Below are 27,982 nucleotides of genomic sequence, written 5' to 3'. Positions count from 1 at the left end.
TGTTCTCTAAAGAATTTCTCAGGCTCAAAATCCAATACAGGAGTGACTTGGAACTCCATTCTATCACTATGAAGAAAAGTGGTGTTCTTTTCCTCTTGGGCATCATCTTGCTGGTTCTGATTGGAGTGCAAGGTAAGGGGTTCTGAGTTAGGTTGTAAAGTAAGAGAAGTGATTCACTGTAAAAGAATCTTGATTAGCCAGATAAAGGTGAATGTTCTGCCTGCATTGAAGAGTAATATTTGGTCAGTCATAAAAGCTTCTCAGTGACATGACCAGTTATCCAAAGTTCATAACTTCGATCTGCCAAGTCAAACACAAGTCTTTGTAGTCTAGGTGTATGAATTCCTAGTAAGTGTTCAATAAATGTTCATTGAACTGGGTAATAATGAGAACTCTATCTCCTAAATTATTTTCTTCTCCCTGATACTGTTTTTTGCTAAGTATATCTGTGGCTAACCAATTAAGGATCCAACCAATAATCAGAGAATTTGTCCCTAATCTATTTACTAACTATCTTTGTTACCTTGGACAAATTACTTAATCTTTCTAGACCTCAGTTTCCTCATCATCTGTAAAATAGAACTTTGTAGTTATACCTTTTCTGACTGCTACACAATGTATGGCATATGGTACAATAAGTACCAAGTAAATATATGAATTTAAGAATTAAGATAATGTATTTTAAGGGGTTTTCAAAAATTTAAAACACTATTGAAAAGCAAGGCAGTGGGGAGGAGAGAGGATGAGGATGAAAGTGGTGATTGGTTACAAAGGAGTGCTTTCTATTCAACACCAACACCAGTTCCATTCCTTAAGGTCAGATAATAAATAATAGATGGTTTAGGAGTTGCTTAAGAAACTGTGATCAGCATAGCATACATGAATTAGTTATCTGTTTGTCTTGTGATAGGCATTTATTAAATATTGTGAAAGTCTCTTTTTCTCCCACGGACTTACGGTGTGGTAGTTAAGAGCAACGCCTTTGGACTCAGAGAGATCTGGGCTAAAACCCTGCCCCTGCTCCCTAAAAGCTGTATGACTTTGTTCTTAATCTTTCTGAACCTTAGTTTCCTTATGTATAAAATAGAGATGATACCTCCTTCAAAGGTTTGTGGTGATTATTTTTAGGCACTCGGTAAATGATAGCAATAATCATGACTCAGTCAAGTGTATCATTTTGATAGATCACCTAAACTGAAACATTGGCCTATACTGATGTGTTCTATCTTTTTCTTTCCCTCAGGAACCCCAGTAGTGAGAAAGGGTCGCTGTTCCTGCATCAGCACCAACCAAGGGACTATCCACCTACAATCCTTGAAAGACCTTAAACAATTTGCCCCAAGCCCTTCCTGCGAGAAAATTGAAATCATGTAAGTAACAACCCAGCTAACATGCATGCACCATATTGGCAAGAACATTAAATTTAGCATGAGTTTTACCCTTGGAGTGCTTGCCCATACAAACACTTAAAAATCAGATGGTTACCCCCTCCATAAATTTGGGCAGCTCCTTTCTTTTCTTCTCCTTAAAAATGCAAGGAATTTCTGGTAGATTAGGCCCCAAGAATGACACATGTTTATTGTACAAAATGTTTAATGCAGGTAACACAATAGAAGAAAATAAAAATCACGCATAATTCTACCCTTGAGTGACAAATACTGTTAACCCCTTAGTATACAGTTTTCTAAATCTTCCTTACTTGCTTCGTGTGCACATAACATAGATATGTTTTTACATACACGTATATAAGCACAAAAATTAAATCATATACTATACACTGTTTTGTAATCTGCTTTTTCATTAACACTATATCATGAACATTTTCTCGTGTCAGTAAATCTCTAATAATGTCATTTTTACTTAATGTCATTTTTAATGGCCAAACTGTATTTCATCATATGGATAAACCATAATTTATATGACCAGGATTATTGTTGGAAATATAGATTATTTCCAAATTTTTACTGCTGAAATAAAACTTACTGTGGCAGTATTGTGTCTGTAATTCTTTCCTTTCTAGAGATTAGGATTGCTAGGTTGAAGGATGTGTGCATATTTTGTCTTTATAAGTCATCCTTGACTACTCTTATTCTCAGACTATACAGAAAAATTAAAGGAACATTTAAATTATTTCCAGACAGTCTACTGTAAGTAATTTTTAAAATTTAACCAGGGCCGGGTGCAGTGGCTCACACCTGTAATCCCAGCACTTTGGGAGGCTGAGGTGGGCAGATCATGAGGTCAAGAGATTGAGACCATCCTGGCCAATGTGGTAAAACCCTGTCTCTACTAAAAATACAAAAATTAGCTGGGCGTGGTGGCGCATGCCTGTAGTCCCAGCTATTCGGGAGGCTGAGGCAGGAGAATCGCTTGAATCCAGGAGTTGGAAGTTGCAGCAAGCTGAGATCGCACCACTGTACTCCAGCCTGGCAACAGAGCGAAATTCTGTCTCAAAAAAAGAAAAAAAAAAAAATTCAACCAGTGACTCATCTTGTCCTAGGAAATAATTTTAAGTAGTTTCATTAGAAAATTCAGCACAATTCATACTGATTTTCATTATTTCTGAGAAGAAGCATTTAAATTATTAATGAGAAAAAACTATCTCATTGCTATTTCTTTGGCAGTGCTACACTGAAGAATGGAGTTCAAACATGTCTAAACCCAGATTCAGCAGATGTGAAGGAACTGATTAAAAAGTGGGAGAAACAGGTTGGTGAAAAGGAAGATCAAAATTTTCTTTCTTTTAGAAATTAACTTTAGAAGACAAAGAATCTGCTTTTTCATTAACACTATAAGAATACATAACTTTTAAGAATACATTTTTCATTCATATTATGGTGCTTCTATTTTGTTCCTAGGACAAAATTAGGTTCCTACATATAGTATCCCCTCTCTGTCTCCCACTGGAAGAATGTGTGTTCCTTGGGGGTACAGAGCTTGTCCTTATTTAATACAATAAATATGTAATGAATTGAATGGTAGACACAGGATACAAAGATAATAAGGTATAGTCCCTTCCTGTTGTAGTGCATATGCTAATAATTATGGTACAATGTGAGAAATATAAAAGTATGCACAAGAATCTTGACGACATAGAGGAGGGAGTACTTAACTTTGCTGGGGGAATGGGGCAGGAGAAAGTGTTAAGGAAGATTTCTCATGTCAGGTGATATTTGATTTGGGTCTTGAAGGATAAATAATTTGCCAGGAAGGTAAGGACAGCATGAGCAGAAGAGTAGAATCATGAGAGAACCTGCTGTGTTCAGGGAGCCTCCATTAATGTGGCTGGAGTTTGTGTGAAGAGAGTGAAGGGACTGAGGCAGAAAAGTAGATCAGGACAAAGCGGGAGGAATCCTGCATGGCATACTAAGGAGTTGGATTTGAAGAGAGCCACAGAATATGTGGGTGGGAGATTGGGTTCTGGAGTCTCACAGACTGGAGGTTCTGCCACATACTAGCTGTCTAGATTTGGGAAAGTCACCCTCTCCAGAACTCAGCCTCCTCCTATGTAAAACGTGGATGATAATAGTGCCACCTTCAGAGGGTTGTAGCTGGGGCAGGTGAGTGGTAAGCAAGGTTGCCAGGAGAATGTAATAAGCCAGAAGAATAGACAAAAGACAGCCAGTTTGAAGGCTGTTGCCTCCTCCTCAAAGTGAGCAAAGTAGAGAGAATCTAAGGGAGCCCCTCTGAGAGTGAAGTGACTTTAATGTGGTTTTGAGACTATGTGGGTATGAGACAATGATCAGGAGAGTCCAAATAAAAGGAAGTAAAAATGGTAAGATTCAGAAACATTGCCCTTTTTCCCCTTCTTCTCACAGGTCAGCCAAAAGAAAAAGCAAAAGAATGGGAAAAAACATCAAAAAAAGAAAGTTCTGAAAGTTCGAAAATCTCAACGTTCTCGTCAAAAGAAGACTACATAAGAGACCACTTCACCAATAAGTATTCTGTGTTAAAAATGTTCTATTTTAATTATACCGCTATCATTCCAAAGGAGGATGGCATATAATACAAAGGCTTATTAATTTGACTAGAAAATTTAAAACATTACTCTGAAATTGTAACTAAAGTTAGAAAGTTGATTTTAAGAATCCAAACGTTAAGAATTGTTAAAGGCTATGATTGTCTTTGTTCTTCTACCACCCACCAGTTGAATTTCATCATGCTTAAGGCCATGATTTTAGCAATACCCATGTCTACACAGATGTTCACCCAACCACATCCCACTCACAACAGCTGCCTGGAAGAGCAGCCCTAGGCTTCCACGTACTGCAGCCTCCAGAGAGTATCTGAGGCACATGTCAGCAAGTCCTAAGCCTGTTAGCATGCTGGTGAGCCAAGCAGTTTGAAATTGAGCTGGACCTCACCAAGCTGCTGTGGCCATCAACCTCTGTATTTGAATCAGCCTACAGGCCTCACACACAATGTGTCTGAGAGATTCATGCTGATTGTTATTGGGTATCACCACTGGAGATCACCAGTGTGTGGCTTTCAGAGCCTCCTTTCTGGCTTTGGAAGCCATGTGATTCCATCTTGCCCGCTCAGGCTGACCACTTTATTTCTTTTTGTTCCCCTTTGCTTCATTCAAGTCAGCTCTTCTCCATCCTACCACAATGCAGTGCCTTTCTTCTCTCCAGTGCACCTGTCATATGCTCTGATTTATCTGAGTCAACTCCTTTCTCATCTTGTCCCCAACACCCCACAGAAGTGCTTTCTTCTCCCAATTCATCCTCACTCAGTCCAGCTTAGTTCAAGTCCTGCCTCTTAAATAAACCTTTTTGGACACACAAATTATCTTAAAACTCCTGTTTCACTTGGTTCAGTACCACATGGGTGAACACTCAATGGTTAACTAATTCTTGGGTGTTTATCCTATCTCTCCAACCAGATTGTCAGCTCCTTGAGGGCAAGAGCCACAGTATATTTCCCTGTTTCTTCCACAGTGCCTAATAATACTGTGGAACTAGGTTTTAATAATTTTTTAATTGATGTTGTTATGGGCAGGATGGCAACCAGACCATTGTCTCAGAGCAGGTGCTGGCTCTTTCCTGGCTACTCCATGTTGGCTAGCCTCTGGTAACCTCTTACTTATTATCTTCAGGACACTCACTACAGGGACCAGGGATGATGCAACATCCTTGTCTTTTTATGACAGGATGTTTGCTCAGCTTCTCCAACAATAAGAAGCACGTGGTAAAACACTTGCGGATATTCTGGACTGTTTTTAAAAAATATACAGTTTACCGAAAATCATATAATCTTACAATGAAAAGGACTTTATAGATCAGCCAGTGACCAACCTTTTCCCAACCATACAAAAATTCCTTTTCCCGAAGGAAAAGGGCTTTCTCAATAAGCCTCAGCTTTCTAAGATCTAACAAGATAGCCACCGAGATCCTTATCGAAACTCATTTTAGGCAAATATGAGTTTTATTGTCCGTTTACTTGTTTCAGAGTTTGTATTGTGATTATCAATTACCACACCATCTCCCATGAAGAAAGGGAACGGTGAAGTACTAAGCGCTAGAGGAAGCAGCCAAGTCGGTTAGTGGAAGCATGATTGGTGCCCAGTTAGCCTCTGCAGGATGTGGAAACCTCCTTCCAGGGGAGGTTCAGTGAATTGTGTAGGAGAGGTTGTCTGTGGCCAGAATTTAAACCTATACTCACTTTCCCAAATTGAATCACTGCTCACACTGCTGATGATTTAGAGTGCTGTCCGGTGGAGATCCCACCCGAACGTCTTATCTAATCATGAAACTCCCTAGTTCCTTCATGTAACTTCCCTGAAAAATCTAAGTGTTTCATAAATTTGAGAGTCTGTGACCCACTTACCTTGCATCTCACAGGTAGACAGTATATAACTAACAACCAAAGACTACATATTGTCACTGACACACACGTTATAATCATTTATCATATATATACATACATGCATACACTCTCAAAGCAAATAATTTTTCACTTCAAAACAGTATTGACTTGTATACCTTGTAATTTGAAATATTTTCTTTGTTAAAATAGAATGGTATCAATAAATAGACCATTAATCAGAAAACAGATCTTGATTTTTTTTCTCTTGAATGTACCCTTCAACTGTTGAATGTTTAATAGTAAATCTTATATGTCCTTATTTACTTTTTAGCTTTCTCTCAAATAAAGTGTAACACTAGTTGAGATAACACATGAAAGCTCTTTAAAGGGTCGATCGGGAACAGGAAAAAAAACCTATGGAAAATATGACAACACTGCCTTACAACAACACTGATTTAAAAGAGTTATGTGGGGCTGGGCGCAGTGGCTCACGCCTATAATCCCAGCACTTTGGGAGGCCGAAGTGGGCGGATCACTTGAGGTCAGGGATTTGAGACCAGCCTGGCCAATATGGTGAGAGCCCATCTCTATTAAAATTACAAAAATTAGCTGGGCATGGTGGCATGCGCCTATAGTCCCAGTTACTTGGGAGGCTGAGGCAGGAGAATCACTTGAACTCGGGAGGTGGAGGTTGCAGTGAGGCAAGATCATGCCACTGCACTCCAGCCTGGGTGACAGAGTGAGACTCTGTCAAAAAAAAAAAAAAAAAAGCATTATGTAGAATTCAATGTATTTCCTAATCCTCAAGAGTAACACTATTCCAATGAGGTGTGTCCCCAGGAAGCCAACACGTCTTCTTTTCTATCCCTAAAATTGTATATGTTTAAATATTGTAAAGCCTCAAGTAGTTATGATGGAGACCTAAACACTGAATGAATTATTTAAGGGTCCAGGAAACTTGGGCTGGAGGCATTACGCAGCGTGGAGTCTCTAAGAAGGTTGAGAGTGGAACGAAGAGCATCAGCCTGTACACTTGATGTACACTTTAGAGGCCAGACAGGTGTAATATTCGGGCAGATAACAGCTGCTAATGGTAGACATGAATTCTCACAAGGGCCTTCACCTGAGAGGCAACAGGACTCTGGAAGGAGCTAAGATCCTGGATTCTGAGATATCCTGGTTAGAATCAGGGGCCCACTACTTATTAACTGTGTGACCCTGGTTAAAGTATAATATTTAACCTCCCAGTGCATCATTTTCCTCATTCCAGATTGTTGTGAGGAGCAGGTTCAGCATAGGTCTTGGTGCAGAGAAAGTCCTCAATGTTTGTCCCAGATCCTCCCTAACCACTTACCTCTGCTGCATCTTCCTTGCAGCAGATGGATCCTACATCTCATAGAGAGAGAAATGTTTCCAGCACTGAAAAAACATGTTGGAGAAATGAGACTAAAAGGCTTCCTGACCAGTTCTCAATATCTGTATTTTATAATCCTAGTCCAGGCCATCATTGTCTCTTTCCTGAGCTACCTCAGTAGCCTGCTGTTTTCCCTGTTGGCTCTTCTTCTCAACATTTCTCTTGCTTCCCTAACTTCCATGACAACTAGAATAATCTTTTTAAAAAATAACTTACAGAATGCTGCCACCTTGCTTAAAATCCTGCAGCTTAGCATTAAGTCAAAACATACCATGAGCTGGCCTAACATAAGCTGGGATCTGCCTGCTTATCTAATCATGCTCCCTCTACCCTCCCCTCCTTTGTTGAGCCTCAGCATCACCTTTTTTCTGTATGTCTCTTGAGCACACTGAATTCATTGCCTTCTGGGGTTTTTGTTCCCTGTGGTTCTGGGTTGTACTATATCAACTTGGTTAGTCTTACAACTACATTTCCCAGAATCTCCTTCCCTGTGTGGTTCCAGGTTATAGTTAGCCAAAGAAGAACTCATGTGAGATTTGGAAATCAAAAGTGAAGGAGTGACCCTTAATCTTGATTAGACATATTGACAGACACACTGGTAGCCAGTGGATCCCAGCTTGTCCTTGCTCTTTTCCTCCATGTTCAGCTTATGCTCAGGACTGCTGGCCTCATGATCAGTGATGGTCCCAGGCCCCCCACCCAGATATTTGGCAGTGGACCCACAGAGGCGGTAGTTACACAGAAGCAACAGCTCCCATAGACCCTAGCAGCCCCAATTTGGCGCTGAACGGGCTTAACTTCTTGGATTTTTCACACAAGCTCTATTTGTCCAACTGTCCCAGTGCTTCTGATGGACCAGTCACTGATTCTTCCTCTGATCCCCTGACTCTCCCTTCTAGATGTTCACTCCCTGAGATCCTTCCTCATCTGTGAGATCTGAATCCTATAGTAAATTTTTATCCTCATAATACTCATAGTGGCTCTGCTTCCCTGAAACACCTGGGCCTACACACACTTCTTTGCATGGCGGTTCTTGCCTCATCACTTAAGTCTCAGTTTAAATGTCACTTCACAGAGTCCCCTTCTCTTATGACCCTTAGTAAAATAACCACTCTTTCCCCAGACTCTCTCTCTGGTAGTGGTAGTGGTTCCAGTGTGTGTACCTTATGGAGTTGATGAAAATATTTAGAACTTACATTTTTGTCTAAAAAACAAGAAAAAACTGAAAATTGACTGTAAATCATTTGTCATGTGCTAATTTCCTGAGGAAAAGGTGACATCGCCACAACTGAGGGGCTGGCATGTGCCCTCACTCAGTCATTCACCTTCTGCAGATTGCAACATGAGTTTCCATTTATGTGCATGTAGTTAAGGGGATTTAAGGATTACAAGACAGAGTGCTCACTAAGCCAACCTTCACAAAATGGGCAAGTGGCTCTAAAAGACTCCTGCTAAGAAATTCCTGAGGAAAAGGTGACATCGCCACAACTGAGGGGCTGGCATGTGCCCTCACTCAGTCATTCACCTTCTGCAGATTGCAACATGAGTTTCCATTTATGTGCATGTAGTTAAGGGGATTTAAGGATTACAAGACAGAGTGCTCACTAAGCCAACCTTCACAAAATGGGCAAGTGGCTCTAAAAGACTCCTGCTAAGAAATTCCTGTGGAAGATCATATTAATAATGCTAATATAAACTAACAAGAGAACAAAACATACATAGATGGGATGGCTGTTCTAATTTTAACTAGAAGGGTACACAATTTTAAAAATCCGGTGGCTAGAGTCTGTTTCATTTTCTTTTATCATGATTAGATATAATGATCAAACCATCACAATCTACAATTACCTTTTAAAATAATGTGTGTACTTATATCTTCCCTCCTACCCTACCACATGTACAAATTTAGGTTTCTCGACCATGGAAACTTTGTCTTCCCCACTACTGCATGCCTAGAGCAGTGCCTGGCACTTAGGAAGCTCCTAATATGTATTTTTTAGTTGATTGACATATACTTCACCCTAAATTTTCATTTTAGGCCTTTTCCAAATCAATTTCAACTACTCTTGTCATGTTCATCTCATGCTCATTTCTGCCCTCGCATTGCTCATTCTTTTATTCGCCCTGTCCTACTTTCCAACTCATCTGACTCCCACCTACACATGATTCAAGTCCCACTTTTCCCATGACTCCATCCCAGAATCCTCCTGGCCACACTGATATCCACCTCCATGCCCTGTCATAAAATGACTTTAACTAGTAAGGATTGTTCTATGATTAAAATCTTCAATTATTTTGCTATACTAGAAAGCAGTCTGTGCCTGAACAAATTTTATACATTAGAGCAATGGATAAAAGACTCAGACGTATTTAATCTGTAAACTATTCTTATGAATTTAAATGCTAGTGGCCAGGTACCATGGCTCACGCCTGTAATCCCAGCCAAGGTGGCTGGATCACTTGGGGTCAGGAGTTTGAGACCAGCCTGGCCAACATAGTGAAACCCTGTCTCTACTCAAAATACAAAAATTAGCTGGGCGTGGTGGCACACGCCAGTAATCTCCACTACTTGAGAGGCTGAGGCACAAGAATCGTTTGAACCCAGGAGGCGGAGTTTGCAGTGAGCTGAGATCGTGCCACTGCTCTCCAGCCTGGGCAACAGAGTGAGACTCTGTCTCAAAATAAATTAAATAAATAAATAAATAAATAAATGCTAGCGATCTCTAGGTCAGTTAACTGGGAGGAAGCTATCTGTAGTTGTTTTATCCTTACGGGGAAACTGGAAAGTTGCCTTCTTATTGGAAAGGAAGATAAAGAGAGACTACAATCACAGATACTTTAGGTACTGTCTCGTTTTTGGCCTATATAGACAGGAGATGAAATTAAATGAGAAAGAAAAACAGGCAACACTTCTTAATAGGGAGTGGAATTAGCTCCCAAGTCATCACAAGCCAAGAAGTCACTTGAGGCATTTTGATACCCACATTGGTTTAAAGTTCTCAGGAGGGAACTTTCAACTTTGGACCCTACATTTTAAGGAGATGAATAAATCACAAAGGAACAGTCTAATCTAAGTCCATTAATAAGATTATGAACTGGGGCAAACTGACAAAAGATTAGAGGGAAAGGTGTCAAGTTATACATAACTAGTTGCTTTCTTTAAAAGTCTGCTATACAGATTAAAAAAAAACTCTTCCTTTAGATATAATATACTGTTTCAAGTCAACTGTTTTAATAAAGAATTTGTTTTGCTCAAAGAAAAAAAGAAGGAAGGACTTGCTGGTATCTCCATCTCCAGAAAACTAAATCTTGGCCTCTGCCTTCTGGTAGAGTATAGGACCAAGTAGGTACAGCCATCTACCACCAGCTTTCTTTAACCATTGGAGTAGACAACCTGCATTTCCTCTGGAATGAAGAACTAAAAATCACAATCTATTAGGTAAGAGGATACATGTCAAAATAAACTATATAACAGAGAGGGAAAAAATGTGTTGCTTAGAAAAAGAAATGCCAGCAATCACTTCTGCAATACTGAAAGCCTCAGAATTTACCTCAGGGCAGATGTCTCTTTTGTATGGAGCCTTTGATTAGGGAGAGATGGGCCTAGGACTTTTGATGGTATGGAAGTTAAAGCAAAACTAAGCTAAATTTCTCTGAATAATGGGGAAACAGGGATGATCTCTGCCAGCTAGGGAGAATGTTGGGGACCTTGGATCAGCAAAAAGAGAGGCAGTGGAGGTGGATGAGAAGCGAGGGCCTGTACCAATGACAAAATCTATCAGCCCTGATAGATTTGTCCAGAGGCAAGGCCAAAAGTTTTCGCTGCCCACAGGAGCAAAGAAATACATGGGCTTGTGGGGAAAACTCATAACAAAGCTGTAAAAGAGAGAGAGGAGGAAGAAAGTACAATAAAAGGCCGGGTGCGGTGGCTCACGCCTGTAATCTCAGCACTTGGGGAGGCCAAGGCGGACGGATCACGAGGTCAGGAGATCGAGACCATCCTGGCCAACATGGTGAAACCCCGTCTCTACTAAAACTAGAAAAATTAGCTGGGCGTGGTGGCGCATGCCTGTAATCCTAGCTATTCAGGAGGCTGAGGCAGGAGAATCGCTTGAACCAGAGAGTCGGAGGTTGCAGTGAGCCGAGATCGTGCCACTGCATTCCAGCGTGGCAACAGAGTGAGACTCCGTCTAAAAAAAGAAAGAAAGAAAGAAGAAAGAAAATGCAATAAAAAATTAAATTAGCTTTAAGGACTATAATTCTTTATGAGATTTCTGTTTAGTTTGTGGGCATGTCAAATCATGTAATTTTCCCGTTAACAAGAAAAGCATGAGCTCCCTCTAGTGGCTAATCTAACAGTTTTTTTAAACAATAGGCCAAACATCGCAGCTCCCACCTGTAATCCCAACATTTTGAGAGGCTGAGGCGGGAGGATCACTTGAGCCCAGAAGTTTGAGACCAGCCCAGGCAACATAGCCAGACCCACCCACCCGGTCCCTCATTTCTACAAAAAAATTTAAAAATTAACCAGGCATGGTGGTGCACACCTATAGTCCCAGCCACTTGGGAGACTGAAGCAGGAGGATAGTTTGAACCCAGGAGGCTGAGGTTACAGTAAGCCATGATTGTGCCACTGAACTCCAGCCTGAGTGACACAGCAAGACCCTGTCTCAAATAATAATAATAATAAAACAATATATTTTAATCAGAAAAGGATGAAGACATGACTGGCTTTTCCGAACACAGTCAATATCATTGGTTTCTAATGAGAAAGGTAATAACAAGGATTCACACGTTAGTCACTTACTGATTTTCAGGTAAATTTTATCTGCGTTTGTCCAAGATATTTTAAGTTCCTGCTTTAATAAATCACACAGTTGAAGAATTGGAAGTCATTAGAGATTATCCATGCATTCATTCATTCATTCAACAAATATTAACTGATTACCTATTATATGCATGCATTGCTCCAAGTGTACAGGATAGACAATGAACAAAACAGTCTTCATTAAGCTCATATTCTAGTGCATAAAGACAGGCAATAAACAACTAAACTAGTAAGTATACGATATATCAGAGACGGATAAGGGCTTTGGAGAAAATGAAGCAGGGGAAGGGAGTGTGGGGTGAGCAGAGGGCTGTGAGGTCAGGGAAGACATCTCTAATAAGTTGTCATTTGAGCAGAGACTTGACAATGAGAGAGCAAGGCTTGTGGCACTTGAATCAGAGGAAACAGCAAGTGTGAAGGCCTGAAGTTTGACACATTTAAGGCAGCTAGGGGATCATTGCAGGGTTGAAGGGGCGCAGAGTAAGCAAAGGGGAGAGTGATGGGAGAGGAGCCCAGTGAGATAGTGTGGGGTCAGATCATATAAGGTTTTGGGCTGCTATAACAAATTACCACAGACTCGATGACTTCAACAACAAACATTTATTCCTCACAGTTCTGGAGGCTGGCAAGTCCAAAATCTAGGTGCCAGCAGATCTAGTATCTTAGTATTTGATGAGGCACTCTTCTTGATTTGCAAACAGATGTTTTCTCGTATCCTCACATGGCAGAGATCAGAGAGAAAGGAGGTAAGCTTTCTTGTGTCTCTTCTTACAAGGATGATAATCTCATCATGAGGACTCCACCTTCATGAACTAATTACCTCCTAATACCATCCCATTGGGGGTTAGGGTTTCAACATATGAATTTGGCGGGACACAATCATGCAGTTCATAACAGCCTTCTATGCCACTGAAGAACTTCAGCTTTTACTCTGAGTGAGAAGGGAAGTTGGAAGAATAACCTGATCCATTTAAGGCTCTCTCTGACCACTACATGGAAATACAGTGTAAGAGGGTAAGGGAAAATGCAGAGAGACCAGTTAAAGGTCAGTTACCAAGTATGTTTCCAGGAGAAGGGAGAGACCAACTGTGTCCAATGCTGCAGGTTAAGTTAAATAATGAAAATTGATGTGATTGGTGATCTTGATAAAAAACAGTTTCAGTGGAATGGTAGAAGCAAAAGATTGATCGGCAGTTTCTTAAAAGTTACACGTAAACCTATCATATTGATCCAGTTATTCTATTCCTAGACATTTACCAAGATATTTATGTCCACATAGAGACTTGATGGCACGACATGGTGGCTCAAGCCTGTAATCCCAACACTTTGAGAGGCCAAGGCGGGAGGATCACTTGAGGCCAGGAATTCAAGACCAGCCTGGACAACATAGTGAGACCCTGTCTTTTATATATATATATATATTTTTTTTTTTTTTTTTTTTTTTTTTTGAGACGGAGTCTTGCTCTGTCACCAAGGTTGGAGTGCAGTGGTGCGATCTTGGCTCACTGCAACCTCCACCTCCTGGGTTCAACCGACTCCCCTGCCTCAGCCTCCTGAGTAGCTGGGACTACAGGTGCGCGCCACCACGCCCGGCTAATTTTTTGTATTTTTTAGCAGAGACGGAGTTTCACCATGTTGGCCAGGATGATCTCGATCTCCTGACCTCGTGACCCGCCGCCTCGGCCTCCCAAAGTGCTGGGATTACAGGCGTGAGCCACTGAGCCCAGCCAAAAATATATTTTTTTAAATTAGCTGGGCATGGTGGCACACCACCTGTAGTCCCAGCTACTAGGGAGGCTGAGTTTAGGAGTTCAAGGCTGCAGTGAGCTATGATCATGCCACTGCACTCCACCCTTGGTGACAGAGCAACACCCTATCTCTTAAAAAGAGACTTGAACATGAATGTTCACAGCCAAAACTGGAAACAACCCAAATATCCAGCAACTAGTGAATGGATAAACAAATTGCAATATGTCTATATGATGGAATACTACTCAGGAATAAAAGGAGTGAACTATTGATACATACAACACCATGGATACATTTCAAAATAATTATGCTAAGTGAAAGAACCTTGACCTCAAATAATAGGTACTGTATGATTCCATTTGTATACAATTCCAGCAAACACAGACATATCTTTGGTGACAGAAAGCAGATGTGTGTTTGTCTGGGGATGATGAGGCACAAGGAACGTTTGGGGATGATGGATATAGTCATTATTTTGATTGTGATGATGGTTTTATGGGTACATACATATGTCAAAACTTATCAAATTGTTCACTGGGTAGTTTGTTGTACATCAATTATATCTTAATAAAGCTATAAAATAAATACATTATAATTTTAAAAATAAAGGATGGAATTTCACATGAAAGCAGAGATGTTGGCCTTAGATACCCAAATTATTTAACATCTGAAAAATATATATTCAGTTAGCCACTCTTAGTCTTAGAGTTCTCATTTATCAAAAACAAATCCTGCCTTCCATGCTGCTGGAGGTAAAATGAACTGACCTATATGCCCTCCTTAGAATAGCAATTAAAGCCTTTCATATCAGGACAATATAACCTTCTCAGCTCTTTCCCTGCTGCACCCTGCCCTCCCAGCCTTTAGTCACACCAAACTTATGGCTATTGTTTCAATACACCAGACATTTTCAAGTACCTGTACGCAGTCTTTTTTCTTTTTTTTTTTTTTTTGAGACAGGGTCTCACTGTATTGCCCAGGCTGGTGTGCAGTGCTTCACTGCAACCTTAACCTCCTGGGCTCAAGCAACCCTTTTGCTTCAGCCTCCTCAGTAGCTTGGACCACAAGCCTGTGCCACCATGCCTGGCTGATTTTTCAACTTTTTGGTAGAGATGGGGTCTCACTATATTGCCCAGGCTAGTCTTGAACTACCCAGCTCAAGTGGTTCTCCCACCTTGGCTTCCCAAAGTTCTGGGATTACAGGCTTGAGCTACCACACTTAGCCAGATTTTGTTTTGAGAATACTTTTTTTGCCCTCACTAAAACAACCTAGCCAAAAAATTTTAATTTAAATCTATGCTTTTTAAAAAAGATTTATTGCTGACATTTATTTCTTAACTTCACAGGTAACTGATTTGATAATTAATAAATAAGTCATTCTCCAAAAGCAGCTGAATAACATGGTTTGTGAAGCATTCTTTATTTTGTGTGCAGGTGTGATTACAGAGTTGTTTTGTTTGGGGCTCATTTTATCATCGTCACAGATGAGGTTGGCGTTCTATAAAATTGCTTTGGTTAAGCAGAACCCTATTGTCTGGCTATTTTGCCAGACCAGCAACCAGCTACCAGCTGTTAGGCTATGTTTTTTCTCATGTAGTTACAATCAAGACTGTCTAGATTGAAATCTCATCTTCCTCACAGGCTATGAATTGAGGCAGTCAACTTCCCTGAGCTTGTTTCCTCTTCTGTAAAATGTAGATAACAATAGCACCTATTTTAGAGGGTTGTTCTGAGGATTAAATAAGTTAATACAAGTGCTTGGAATAGTGCCTGGCACAGGGTGGGTAATTAGGTTTTTTTTTCTCTCTCTCTAATTCACAACACCCTACCTCATTCATTCAACCCTTATTGATTTTTTACACCTTGAGATTGTAGAAATGTATTCTCCTCTTCGAATTACCAGGATCTGAATTAAAAACTCTGACTGAGGAGTGCTTACAAAGCTTATAACGATGGTTGAATTTTAACGATTAATTGCATTTATTAATGGTCAACATGATCACATTTTATCCAGCCCTCTTTTCCCTTGTATGGGTCACGCTAAGTTGAAACAACCAAAACCAAAATAAAAACATATCTAAAATCATACACATTAACTTATATGACCCTCGTTGCTCTTTTTTCCTCCTAAGAGGGAATAGTGTTATCTAGCGCCACGGTTCTTTTCAGTTTTGTTTTGTTTTGTTTTGTTTTTTATACGGAGTTTCGCTCTTGTTGCCCAGGCTGGAGTGAAATGGTGCAATCTCGGCTTACCGCAATCTCCGCCTCCTGTGTTCAAGCGATTCTCCTGCCTCAGCCTCCCTAGTAGCTGGGATTACAGGCATGCGCCACCACGCTCGACTAATTTTGTAATTTTAGTAGAGACGGGGTTTCTCCATGTGGATCAGGCCGGTCTCGAACTCCCGACCTCAGGCCCGCCTTGGCCTCCCAAAGTGCTGGGATTACAGGCGTCAGTTTCTAATTTTAGACTGCGGGATTAAAAATAAACGATTAATCCTCATTTATGTGCTTCATATGGGTGTCGGAATGACGATACATGCTAACACACGTGAAAAAATTTACATTTCAGATCCTTTCAGAAACGCAAGGCAATATTAAGTAGTAGCATATGCCCAAGGGCGAGGGGCGGGTCGGCGGTGGCTGGCTCTCCAATACACCACAGAGTATTTTGGCAACGAGAGTAATTTTGACACTCTGAGGCTTCCGTAGCATAGCTCGCTTTAGGAACCGCTAAGGTGTCGCCTGCCTAGAGTCCCATGCGCTATTTCCGGTCATACCCGGAAACACGAGTCCAAGCTGCAGCTGGCAGGGATTGCGGGGTGCCGGCCGTCTGAGTTTTTTTAAAACTGCTCGCCGCGAAGTCTGTCTGCAGCCAAAATGTCCAACAGAAACAACAACAAGCTTCCCAGCAACCTGCCGCAGTTACAGAATCTAATCAAGCGAGACCCGCCGGCCTACATCGAGGAGGTGGGAGTGCGGCGCGGCAGACGCTAGAGGCCGGATAGTGGATGGTTGAGACGCCGGTGCGGGAAAGCATGGAGTGGGGCTGGGATCCAGGCTCGCCGCCTATTCTTCTGTTAGGTTCAGGGGTCCCTCCAGAGGAGAGAAGGGGTTGGGGACGGGACATGCCTTAGGGTTCGTTCCCCACCTCTTGAAAATCTGTTGCCCCTTTGGATTTTCTACCTGCCCTGCTGCCGCTGAAACACCTTTAAAACCTCATTTTGTTTTAAGATATTTTTCTTCGTCCGCACGGAAGTGGAGAGAGAAATGGGCCGCACCCAACCACCAACTTCCACGCGGATTTCTCAGCCTCTTTTCAGAAATCCCAAACTTGAATTAGTCGGTAACCTTTGATGAATCGTATGTTAGAATGCTTTCGATTGACGTCCGTTTCTGAGAGCAGGCTGTGTACCCTGGACTGTGCCAGGAAAGGGGGGGGGGGGGTTTCTCAAGCACAACGGACAGACTCGGGAGCTTAGTATATTTAGTTAAGCCAGGATTCAAACTTACCGGAGACTGGCATGACTCGGATGTCAGAATTTGCTTCGGGAAAAGATTAGGTTGAAAAATTAGGCCCTCATTGTGATGGGCTTTGTGTACTGACCTCATGTAAGTTGTGAACATTAGGGGTGTTTGAACCAAGTACCGACAAAACGAAAGTGGTTTTTGATATATTAATCTGACAGGTGCTTCCTTCAGACACTCATTTATCAGACGGGCATTAAACAGGTATCTCTGCTAGGCATTTGCTGCAATTACATGTTTGTGCTTCTACCAGATTGTGATTTGTTCAGTGGCTAACACAATTACTTATTTTTTCATTGCCCTTCTCACTTCCCTCCTCCCCTAAATTTTCACATATATGTATTTTATGAGTGCTTTTTAACACATGGCAATCTCAGTGGCTTAGGTCACCAGTAGAGAAAGCCTCTCCAAGGATCAAGGTAGTGGAAATAAAGAGTAGGAAACAAGTACAAGAAGTTAAGTAACATAGGCAAGGCTTTGAGATGCTTAAAGCATTGTATAGCCATTCGCAAAGAAAGTGGTAAGTTGAGAGTCTATATAATTCCGTTAGATAACTCCTGCTGCTGACTGTTGTTAACCAGTTGTGTAACCGAAGCAGGTTAATCGCTGAGCCTATGTGGGTATTTTAATATGTAAGAAGGGGGTAATAACTACTTCTTTAATTCACTTAAGTATATATGCAAAATCACATATAACTACTGTGTGTTGTTATTCTAGGTAGGCGTTGGGGTACAGTAATGAATAAGACAGATAAGAAAGCATTCTTCTCTTGGACTTACATTCAAGTGAGTGTAGACTTATTATGGTAGAGATTATGAAGAAAATAAAACTGGATGGGAATAGGTTAGAATTGGAGGCTTCTGATTTAGACCCCGTAAACAGGGAAGGTGGCTCTGCAATGATGATATTGAGCCAGGCAGGTAAACATCATTTTAGGTACAAGGAATAGAAAGTGCAGAAGCTACTGGTGGAAAAAAAGCAGAGAAGAAGCCAGTGTAGCTAAAGTGTAGTCAGCATAGAAGAGGGCAGTGGAAGATGATGTAGGAAATGCAGGCAGGGGTCAGCTTATTCAGAGCCTCTTAGGCCCTGTTAACGAGTTTAGATTTCACTCTGAGTGCCTCGGGGAGTGATTGAAGAGTTTTAAGCAGGAGAGTGACATGATCTGACATATTTTTTTTAAGAATTTACTCTGGAAGTTACATGTGGAATGGCTTGTAGAGGAGCAACACTGGAAGCAGGGTAACTAATATAATGGATCTCAGAATAACCAAGCAAGGGATTGTGGTGTCATTGGAATTATGGGCAAAGATTCGTGCTGTTCTACGTGGAGGTAGAGCTAGTAGAGCCTTGGGATTTCTGGTGGAGTGGATGTGGGGGATAAGGAAAAAAGAAGGAATGAAGGATCACCCAGGTTTTTTATTTATATGTCTAGGTAGATGATAGTGCCATTTCCTGAAGTTCGTTCATTTGACAAATACTGTTGATTACCTGCTATATGTAAGGCACAATGCTGGGCCCTGGGACTACATAATATTGAGCTGTACCGATAAAAATTCTATGCTCATTAAATGACATTCTAGTAGGGGGTGATATACAGTAACAAATAATATAGTATGTTAAATAATGAAAAGTGCTGTGAAAAAAAGACAATAGGAAAGTACTTATGTATGTTGGGGGTGAGATGGGTATTGCAGTTTTAAATTGGATAGTTAGGGAAGGTCTTCTTGAGATAGTAATCTTTGAGTGAAAACCTGAAGGACATGAGGGAGAGCTGTGCATATGTTTAGGAAGAATGATCTAGGCAGAAGGAACAGAAGGTATAAAGACCTTGGGGTAGGTATGCCTGGTAGATTTCAGGAACATAAAGGCCAGTGTGGCTCCAAATAGGGAATGAGGAAAGGGGGTGAATTTGGGATTCTACCTCCCAATGAGATGGAAGCCTTTACAGGGTTTTGAGCAGAAGAATACATGAACCACCCTATATGAGAACAAGATCACCGTTACTTGAGGATAGACTGTATGTAGGAGGGCAAAGATAGAAGCAGAGACACCACATAAGAAGCTATTGGAATTATCCACAGCAAGAGATGATGCTGGGTTGAGTGGTGCTAGGATGGTAACAGGAAGTAGTAAGAAGGGTGATTAGATCCTGGATTGGGTAGGTAGAGAAAGCCCTGGGGATTCCCAACATTTAAAGGCCAGTGAGTTTCTAAGTAACTGGAAAAAGGGACTGAGAAAGCAGCCAGTGAAGTTTCGAGGAAAACCAGGAGGTGTTCTGGAAGCCAAGTATAGAAGATGTTCCCAAGGGAGGGAGAACCCAAGCACATCAGATGCTGATGAGTCAAATAAGATGAATACCAAAAGTTGACCACCATTAAATTTAGCAACATGGGGTCGGGCACGGTGGCTCACACCTGTAGTCTCAGCACTTTGGGAGGCCAAGGTGGGTGAATCACCTGAGGTCAGGAGTTCAAGACCAGCCTGACCAACATGGTGAAACCCCATCTCTACTAAAAATACAAAAATTAGCCAGGTGTGGTGGCGGGCACCTGTGATCCCAGCTACTCCAGAGGCTGAGGCAGGAGAATTGCTTGAACCTGGGAGGCGGAGGTTGCAGTGAGCCGAGATCGCGCCACTGCACCCTAGCCTGGGCAACAAGATGAAACTCCATCTCAGAAAAACAAAACAAAAAAAAATTAGCGACATGGATGTCATTGGCTACCCTGATTCATTGAGCAGTTTGGGAAGAGGAATGGGTGCAAAAATCTGATTACAGAAGGTTTAAAAACAATTGGAGTATGATTCTATGTATATGAAATGTATATGAATAGAATATGTCCAGAATAGGTGCATCTATATGGATGGAAAGTAGACTAGTGTTTGCCAGAGCTGAGGGTAAGGGGTATAGGAAATAACTGCTAATGGATTGGGGTTTCTTTTGGTGATGATGAAAAACCTATGGTTGTACAACTTGGTGAATATACTGAAGAACCGAATTGTATACTTTCAAAGGGTAAATTTTATGGTATATGAATTATATCTCAATTTAAAGGATTTTTTGAAAAAGGAGGGCAATTAGGTAACATATGGACAACTCTTTAAAGGACTTTTTCTGAAGAGAGAAATAGAGTAGAAGGTACAGAGTAAAGTGGAATCAAGAAAGGATTTTTTTTTTTAAGACACAGTCTTGCTCTGTTGCCCAGGCCAGAGTTCAGTGGTGTGATCACGGCTCACTGCAGCCTCAACCTCCTGGGCTCAAGCAATCCTCCCGCCTCAGCCTCCAGGGTAGCTGGGACCACAAGTGTGCAACCACCATTCCCAGTTGATTTTTTTGTAGAGATGAGGTCTTGCTAGTTGCCCAGGCTGGTCTCCAAGCTGAAACCATGCAATCTTTCTGCCTCAGCCTCCCAAAGTGCTGGAATTACAGGCATGAGCCACCATGCCCAACCAAGAAAGGTGTTTTTTGTTTTGTTTTGTTTTGTTTTGTTTTTAAGATGGCAGAAAGAACAGCATGTCTATATACTGATGGGGCAGAACCTGTTGAGGCAGGAAATGGGAGGTGGGGACTAGTGAAGCAAAGACCTTGATTGAGTGACATTACAGGGTTTAGAATCTAATGCATAACTGGAGGGGCTAGCCTTAGATGGTGGCCTGATAGCTTTTGTAGTAGGAGAGAAGGTAAAGTATATGGGCACAGGAGAAGATAGGTGGTTAAATGGAAATTATCCTCAGATTGCTTATATTCCTAGTGAAATTGGAGATAAGATCATCTGCTGAGAATGGGGACAGGGAAAAAGTGAGGTTGGAGGACAGATTGCAAAGTATGAAATGGTTGTCCAGAAAAGTGGGAAAGTGAAGGGACTAGAGAAATGTAATGAGATTGCTGGAGTACACGCAGGGCTTAATTGAGGTTTGTAGTTATGAATTTGTGCCTATAGTCCCAGCTAATTGGGAGGCTAGGGCAGTTGGATTGATTAAACCCAGGAGTTTGATGCTGCAGTGAGCCATGATAGCACCACTGCACGGAAACCTGGGCGACAGAGCAGGACCTTGGCTCTAAAAAAAATTAAAATGAAAAAAATAAAATGACACCAATTAGCCGATTTTCTCCAACCATGTTCAGCTCTGGGAGTATAGCTGTAGAGAAGGAAAGCACAGGGTGGGCATTTTACCAAATGGGTATAATGATAAGAGAAATGGGCAAGTGAGTTGAAGTATACGCATGGAGGTGATTATAATGATTGATCATGGAATTGAAGCTGGATGAGAAGGGAAGTTGGCGTGGGGGTTACTTAGGTGCAGTGGAAAGGTAGTAGGCTTAGTGGACTGTGGATTCTGATGAGATTGAAGGATCGTTGGAGTTTGGAAAATAAGAGATGTGGTTGGAGAGGAATATACCTCTAGTTGAGATTATGGAGTTGTAATATAGTTATTGGTAATGACAACATTTAGGGTGTGACCATGGAAGTGAGTGCTAAGATACAGTAAGTTCAAGATGATTAGAGGAGGAGAAGTCAGGGTAATGAGGGGCCAGAGTATTGGGAAGACCCTCCATGTGGATACGAAATCACCAAGTATTATAACAGGAATTGAGATAGAGGGTGAGAAGACAGTGAGCAAAGAGCTGAAATGTTGAAGGAATGTGAGGATAACTCTAGTCTTTAGATGACTACAAGGAGGAATAGTGGGTCTTGTGGCATAAGATTCAAAGCTGGGGGTGAGGACAGTTGAGGAGAAAGGATATTAATCTGGAGGGATATGAGTGCTCTGGAAGTAGCATTGATGAAAAAGGAGGATGCCTACTGACTCATCCATGCTGGGAGAAAGAAACGACGTAGCAGTGTGTCAGGAGAAAACCACTGTTCCCATAGAGCATCTGAATGACTGGGCTGTTTGATTTAGATGCCTTGGCCCCACCCCAAGAGTTTCAGGATTGTAGTGGAATGAGGATTACAGTGAGGAGGATGAGGGATGGCCAGGGAATACTGGGCTCTTGTGGTGACTGATGCACATAAAGGGTGTAATGAGATTAGTCCTGATCATCTCAAGGCGGGTAAATAGTGTTAGCTGGGCCATGGGTGGGGTGGGGGAAGAAATGGGGTGAGGATTTTGTCAGTAGCATAAAGAGTTGTGTAGCCCTCTCCTCACTCCTATTCAGTGGAGGTGTCGGGTCAAGAGAGAAGTGGTTCTATCTGAAGCATGTAGGGACTTGACTTCTGTTCTTAGAAAAAGCCTGGCAGTTTTGTTGAGGAAATCAAGTTGTGTTTTTTGACCATGCTAAGTTTATGATGTCTGTTTAGACACCTAAACAGAGATGTCAGACAGGTGACTGGATATGTGAATTGGGAGTTCACTGGACCAGGTAGGGATGATGAGAAAGAGTGTGTGTGTGTGTGTGTGTGTGTGTGTGTGTGTTTGTGTGTGTGTGTGTATGTCACATAATTTAAAGACATAGACTATGTATGGGTGGAGAGTAGTTAGCTGTAAGGCATGGAACTGTGGAATTGAGGCCTGGTGAATTCCAACATTTGATTATCAGGTGGCTGTTACAACTAAACATAAGTAAGTGAGTTGATGTGCATAAGGAGCTTAGTACATAACAAGTGCTGAATAAGTGGAAGCTATTATTATTTCCATGTGTCTACTGCTATTGGCTGTTAACACATCCTGCCTAGAGCTCTAGCATAAAGTTACTGACACTTAAAAGAAGAGGTAAAAAAAGAGGGGAGCCAGGTGCTATGGCTCACACCTGTAATCCCAGCACTTTGGGAGGCCAGGGTGAGAGGATCACTTGAGGCCAGGCGTTTGAGTCCAGCCTGGGCAACATAAAGAGATCCCGTCTCTACAAAAAATAAAAATGAAAAATCAGCTGGGTATGGTGGTGAACGTCTGTGGTCCCAGCTACTTAGGAGGCTGAGGCAGGAGGACCTCTTGAGCCCAGGAGTTTGAGGTGGCAGTGAGCTATGATTGTGCCACTGCAGTCCAGCTTGGGTGACAGAGGGAGACCTAGTCTTTTTTTTTTTTTTTTAAGGTACCAAAACAGATACATAGACCAATAGAATAGAACAGAGGCTTCAGAAATAACGCCACACATCTACAACCACCTGATCTTTGACAAACCTGACAAAAACAAGCAATGGGGAAAGGATTCCCTATTTAATAAAACGTGTTGGGAAAACTGGCTAGCCATATGCAGAAAGCTGAAACTGGACCCCTTCCTTACACCTTGTACAAAAATTAAATCAAGATGGATTAAAGACTTAAACAAGAGTCCTAAAACCATAAAAACCCTAGAAGAAAACCTAGGCAATACCATTCAGGACATAGGCCCGGGCAAGACTTAATGACTAAAACACCAAAAGCAATGGCAACAAAAGCCAAAATTGACAAATGGGATCTAATTAAACTAAAGAGCTTCTGCACAGCAAAAGAAACTATTATCAGAGTGAATAAGCAACCTACAGAATGGGAGAAAATTTTTGCAATCTATCCATCTGACAAAGGGCTAATAGCCAGAATCTACAAGGAACTTAAACAAATTTACAAGAAAAAAAAAACCCCATCAAAAAGTGGGCAAAGGATATGAACAGACATTTCTCAAAAGAAGACATTTATGCGGCCAACAAACAGTGAAAAAAAGCTCATCAGCACTGGTCATTAGAGAAATGCAAATCAAAACTACAATGAGATACCATCTCACGCCAGTTAGAATGGCAATCATTAAAAAGTCAGGAAACAGCAGATGCTGGAGAGGATGTGGAGAAATAGGAACTCTTTTACACTGTTGGTGGGAGTGTAAATTAGTTTAACCATTGTGGAAGACAGTGTGGCAATTCCTCAAGGATCTAGAACCAGAAATACCATTTGACCCAGCCATCCCATTACTGGGTATATACCCAAAGGATTATAAATCATTCTACTGTAAATACACATGTACACATATGTTTATTGCAGCACTATTCACAATAGCAAAGACTTTGAACCAACCCAAATGCCCATCAATGATAGACTAGATAAAGAAAATATGGCACATATATACCATGGAATACTATGCAGCCATAAAAAAGGATGAGTTCATGTCCTTGCAGGGACATGGATGAAGCTGGAAACCATCATTTTCAGAAAACTATCACAAGGACAGAAAACCAAACACCGCATGTTCTCACTCATAAGTGGGAGTTGAACAGTGAGGACACATGGATACAGGAAGGGGAACATCACACATTGGGGCCTGTTGGGGTGGGGGGCTAGGGGAGGGATAGCATTAGGAGAAATACCTAATGTGGATGACAGGTTGATGGGTGCAGCAAACCACCATGGCACATGTATACCTGTGTAACAAACCTGCACATTCTGCACATGTATACCAGAACTTAAAAGTATAATTTTTAAAAAGGGGTGGCAGTGGGGGGGTGGGATTTTGACTGGAGAGCTTCATGTACTTGAGATATAATTTATATTTCTGCCCTGTTATTTTTCTGCTGATTTGAGTGCTCTGCATACATGGATATGGTAGTAGGGGTCATTTATTTTTATTTTTATTTTGTGAGACAGGGCCTCCGTGTTGCCTAGGCTGGAGTGCAGTGGCATGATCATAGCTCACTGCAGTCTCAACCTCCCTGGGCTCAAGTGATCATCCCATTTCAGCCTGTTGAGTAGCTGGAATTACAGGTGCACGCCACCACACCCTGCTAATTTTTGTATTTTTTGTAGAGACAAGGTCTCCCTGTGTTACCCAGTTTGGTCTCGAACTCCTGGGCTCAAGTGATCCTCCCACTTTGGCCTCCCAAAGTGCTGGGATTACAAGTGTGAGCCACTACACCCAGCAGTCGGGATCATTTAGATAGTAACTGGCAGAACAGGGCTACAATCTGAATTTGGGATTCATGCTTCTCTGTTCTTACACCATGCTGCCTAAACTTGTAGTGATAATTCCAAGGAAAAGTTCTTTAGATTATCTGTGATGTGCTCAGGTCTTTAAAAAGCGCACTTTGAAGAATGCAGATAAGGCAAAAGGAGTGTTTTTATATACTTTTGCATTATCTTTTTCTCCATGTGATCGTCAACAGTTTCTACTAAGAATTTCTCTACTGAATGTCTGTACTGAGAAAGTCATGTAATACAATGTGACAAACTTAAATTTTATTTTTCTGCAGTTTCTACAGCAGTATAATCACTACAAATCCAATGTGGAGATTTTCAAATTGCAACCAAATAAACCCAGCAAAGAACTAGCAGAGCTGGTGATGTTTATGGCACAGGTAAGAATATAATTGCTTAAATAAAGACCAGTATTAACACACAGTTTGCTGAATGTTTTTTCACTAATACTCAACCTTATTCCACTCTGGAATGGGAACTTAATTAAAATATTTTTCTAACTTTCCCTTTTTGCAAATTTTATTTTCTCCCTATCATGAGTTAGAGAATGTCACTAGATCTTTTTGCATAACTAACCAGGACAAAACTTTAAGACTATTTTTTTTCTTCAAATTCATCATAAAAGCAGGTACTAAATCATGCCATAAATATTACTAAGACTAGAGAAACCATGATAAATGTTGGAGAAATTAACATGTAGAAGGAAAAGAAGGTTGTTTGGAACCATCTACTTCTATGAAACATAGCCTTTTACTCTCGTTTTGCAGAACATCCTAAATGTATGCATCTGAATTATAGGAGAGAAAGAGAGCAACTTCAGAAGAGCCTTTGCTTTGTTACAGATTAGTCACTGCTACCCAGAGTACCTAAGTAATTTTCCTCAAGAGGTGAAAGATCTTCTCTCCTGCAATCATACCGTATTGGATCCAGATCTGCGAATGGTAGGACCAGTAGTTGGATGAATAAATTGTGCTGTGTTCATGTGTGCTGCGTTCATATATATTTAAATGAGAACAGCCTCTAAGCTAATTATCTTCAGAAAACGTAAATTATAATGTATTATCCTTTCCTAAAAATCCTTCTATGGCTTCTCATTTATACTTAGAGTAAAACGGAAACTTAATAACCTGGCTCAAAAGTGCCTGCATGATCTGCTTCCAGCCTGTGTTTCTGATATCATATTGTTTTCAGCTACACTGTGATCTTTCTATTCTTCCAGCACACTAACCCTACAGGATGCTCTTTAACCTTTTGAGATGATTTCTTCTAGTCATTCAAATCTCATATGCATGTAGAATCCTAATCACAACTTGTCATTTTTATAATGCCTTAAATTAGTAAACTTACCCATTAGACAGTCAGTTTGAGCATTTCATCATTGTCCTTTTAGTGGTTGGGGTTGAGTCCTGGCTGACATTCCCTTCACGAGGCCGGTGTACCTGTTTGCCCCACTTGTTGTGAATGTCAGCTGCTGGTGGCCCTCAGCTGCCCTTTCTCTGCAACATTGTCCTCAGCTAAATCGGAGTCCTAGTGCCTGGGAGGTGTCCTCCTACCCTAGTAGCCCACAGCCCATTATCATGTGGTACAAAAGCCCAGCCCATTACCTCAGGGTGGCTCTGACTCCAATGCAGGATGTGCTCCAGTGTTTTCCTGTGTTGGGACTAAAGCTAGTCTCCAGTCAAGGGCACATCCTTGCTTTGCTTTGCGTGTCTCTGCACTATCCTCCTTCCTTCACTTCCTTTCTGAGATCATACCCCCAACAAATCACTTGTAATAAATCAGTCTCTGCTTCTAGGGACTAAGACATTTCCAAATTTAATACATCTGCTTTTCAAACCTCTTTACAGCAGATAAGTACGCAAATATGATCACAAAACGTACTAATATCCTATAGCACAACTTGTAGAAATGCCAAGTCTTTAGATGAATATTTGTTTTCTTTTAGACTTTCTCAGGTTTTTTGTATTTCTATCATTTTTATACTACTTTAGGATTTTAGTAATTTGATTAGGCCAAAAAGAAAAAGAATACTGTCTCAGACAAGCCAAGGTTTCAGGCCCTGGGTTGTCAACTGATTGATACTCAGCTGGTACATGGGACCTGGCAGTATAGCCCAAGGGACTCCAAACTTGAACCCCTAGTCTAAAGGCTTTTACCTATGTCATGTTACTCTTGAAGTCCTTGTAGGTCATAGAGATTTGATATTTTGAGTATAGAGACTTAATGGCTTTCCAAGTAATTAGGATTTCTTTAAGTTTTATTTTCCTGGCAGTACCCCACCAAACTGGTCTGTGGGCATTATTAAATTAATATATATGCCAGGTGCACCTGTAGTCCCGGCTTCTTGGGAGGCTGAGGCAGGAGGATTGCTTGAGGTCAGGAGTTTGAGGCTGAGGTGTGGTATGAGCATGCCTGTGAATAGCCACTACACTGCAGCCTAGGCAACATAGCAAGATCCCACCTCTAAATTTTTTTTTAAATGGAAAAAAATGTGTATGTATATTTCTTTATAGTGCTTTATGATGATTAGTAGGTTTTTAAAAAATAATAAAGATTTCCGCCAGGCGCGGTGGCTCACGCCTGTAATCCCAGCACTTTGGGAGGCCGAGGCAGGAGGATCACCTGAGGTCGGGAGTTCGAGACCAGCCTGACCTACATGGAGAAACCCTGTCTCTACTAAAAATACAAAATAAGCCGGGCATGGTGGTGCGTGCCTGTAATCCCAGCTACTTGGGAGGCTCAGTCAGGAGAATTGCTTGAACCTGGGAGGCGGAGGT

The 27,982-nt window shown here is 41.3% G+C and overlaps 2 protein-coding genes and 1 long non-coding RNA gene across 6 annotated transcripts in view; 2 read left to right on the top strand and 1 right to left on the bottom strand.

The window, feature by feature from the left end:
- Nucleotides 1–8: 8 nt before the first annotated feature.
- CXCL9 (C-X-C motif chemokine ligand 9) lies at nt 9–6,243 on the top strand. The gene is made up of 4 exons (NM_002416.3): nt 9–132; nt 1,244–1,370; nt 2,625–2,709; nt 3,819–6,243. Exons 1-4 carry the CDS (start codon nt 69–71, stop codon nt 3,918–3,920), a joined length of 378 nt encoding a protein of 125 aa, NP_002407.1. The 5' UTR covers nt 9–68; the 3' UTR covers nt 3,921–6,243.
- Nucleotides 1,576–26,728, bottom strand: SDAD1-AS1 (SDAD1 antisense RNA 1). The gene is made up of 3 exons (NR_125906.1): nt 26,553–26,728; nt 10,774–11,412; nt 1,576–2,445 (listed from the first exon to the last, which is right to left on the bottom strand). It is a non-coding gene; the product is annotated as an SDAD1 antisense RNA 1 (long non-coding RNA).
- Nucleotides 16,573–27,982, top strand: part of SDAD1 (SDA1 domain containing 1) — a 41,031-nt gene continuing 29,621 nt past the window's right edge. For 2 of the 4 annotated variants that reach the window (NM_001288983.2, NM_018115.4), the window contains exons 1-3: nt 16,573–16,766; nt 25,481–25,585; nt 26,048–26,146. In NM_001288983.2, the coding sequence (NP_001275912.1) occupies nt 16,677–16,766; nt 25,481–25,585; nt 26,048–26,146 (294 nt within the window). In that variant the 5' untranslated portion in view covers nt 16,573–16,676. Of the gene's footprint in view, nt 16,823–25,480; nt 25,586–25,972; nt 26,147–27,982 lie in introns of all 4 variants that reach the window. The other 2 variants (NM_001288984.2, XM_005263102.5) reach the window with 2 other exon arrangements.

The sequence above is a fragment of the Homo sapiens genome, chromosome 4, assembly GCF_000001405.40.
Source record: "Homo sapiens chromosome 4, GRCh38.p14 Primary Assembly".
Lineage (NCBI taxonomy): Eukaryota > Metazoa > Chordata > Mammalia > Primates > Hominidae > Homo > Homo sapiens.
This window is presented reverse-complemented; position numbering and strand designations above follow the sequence as displayed.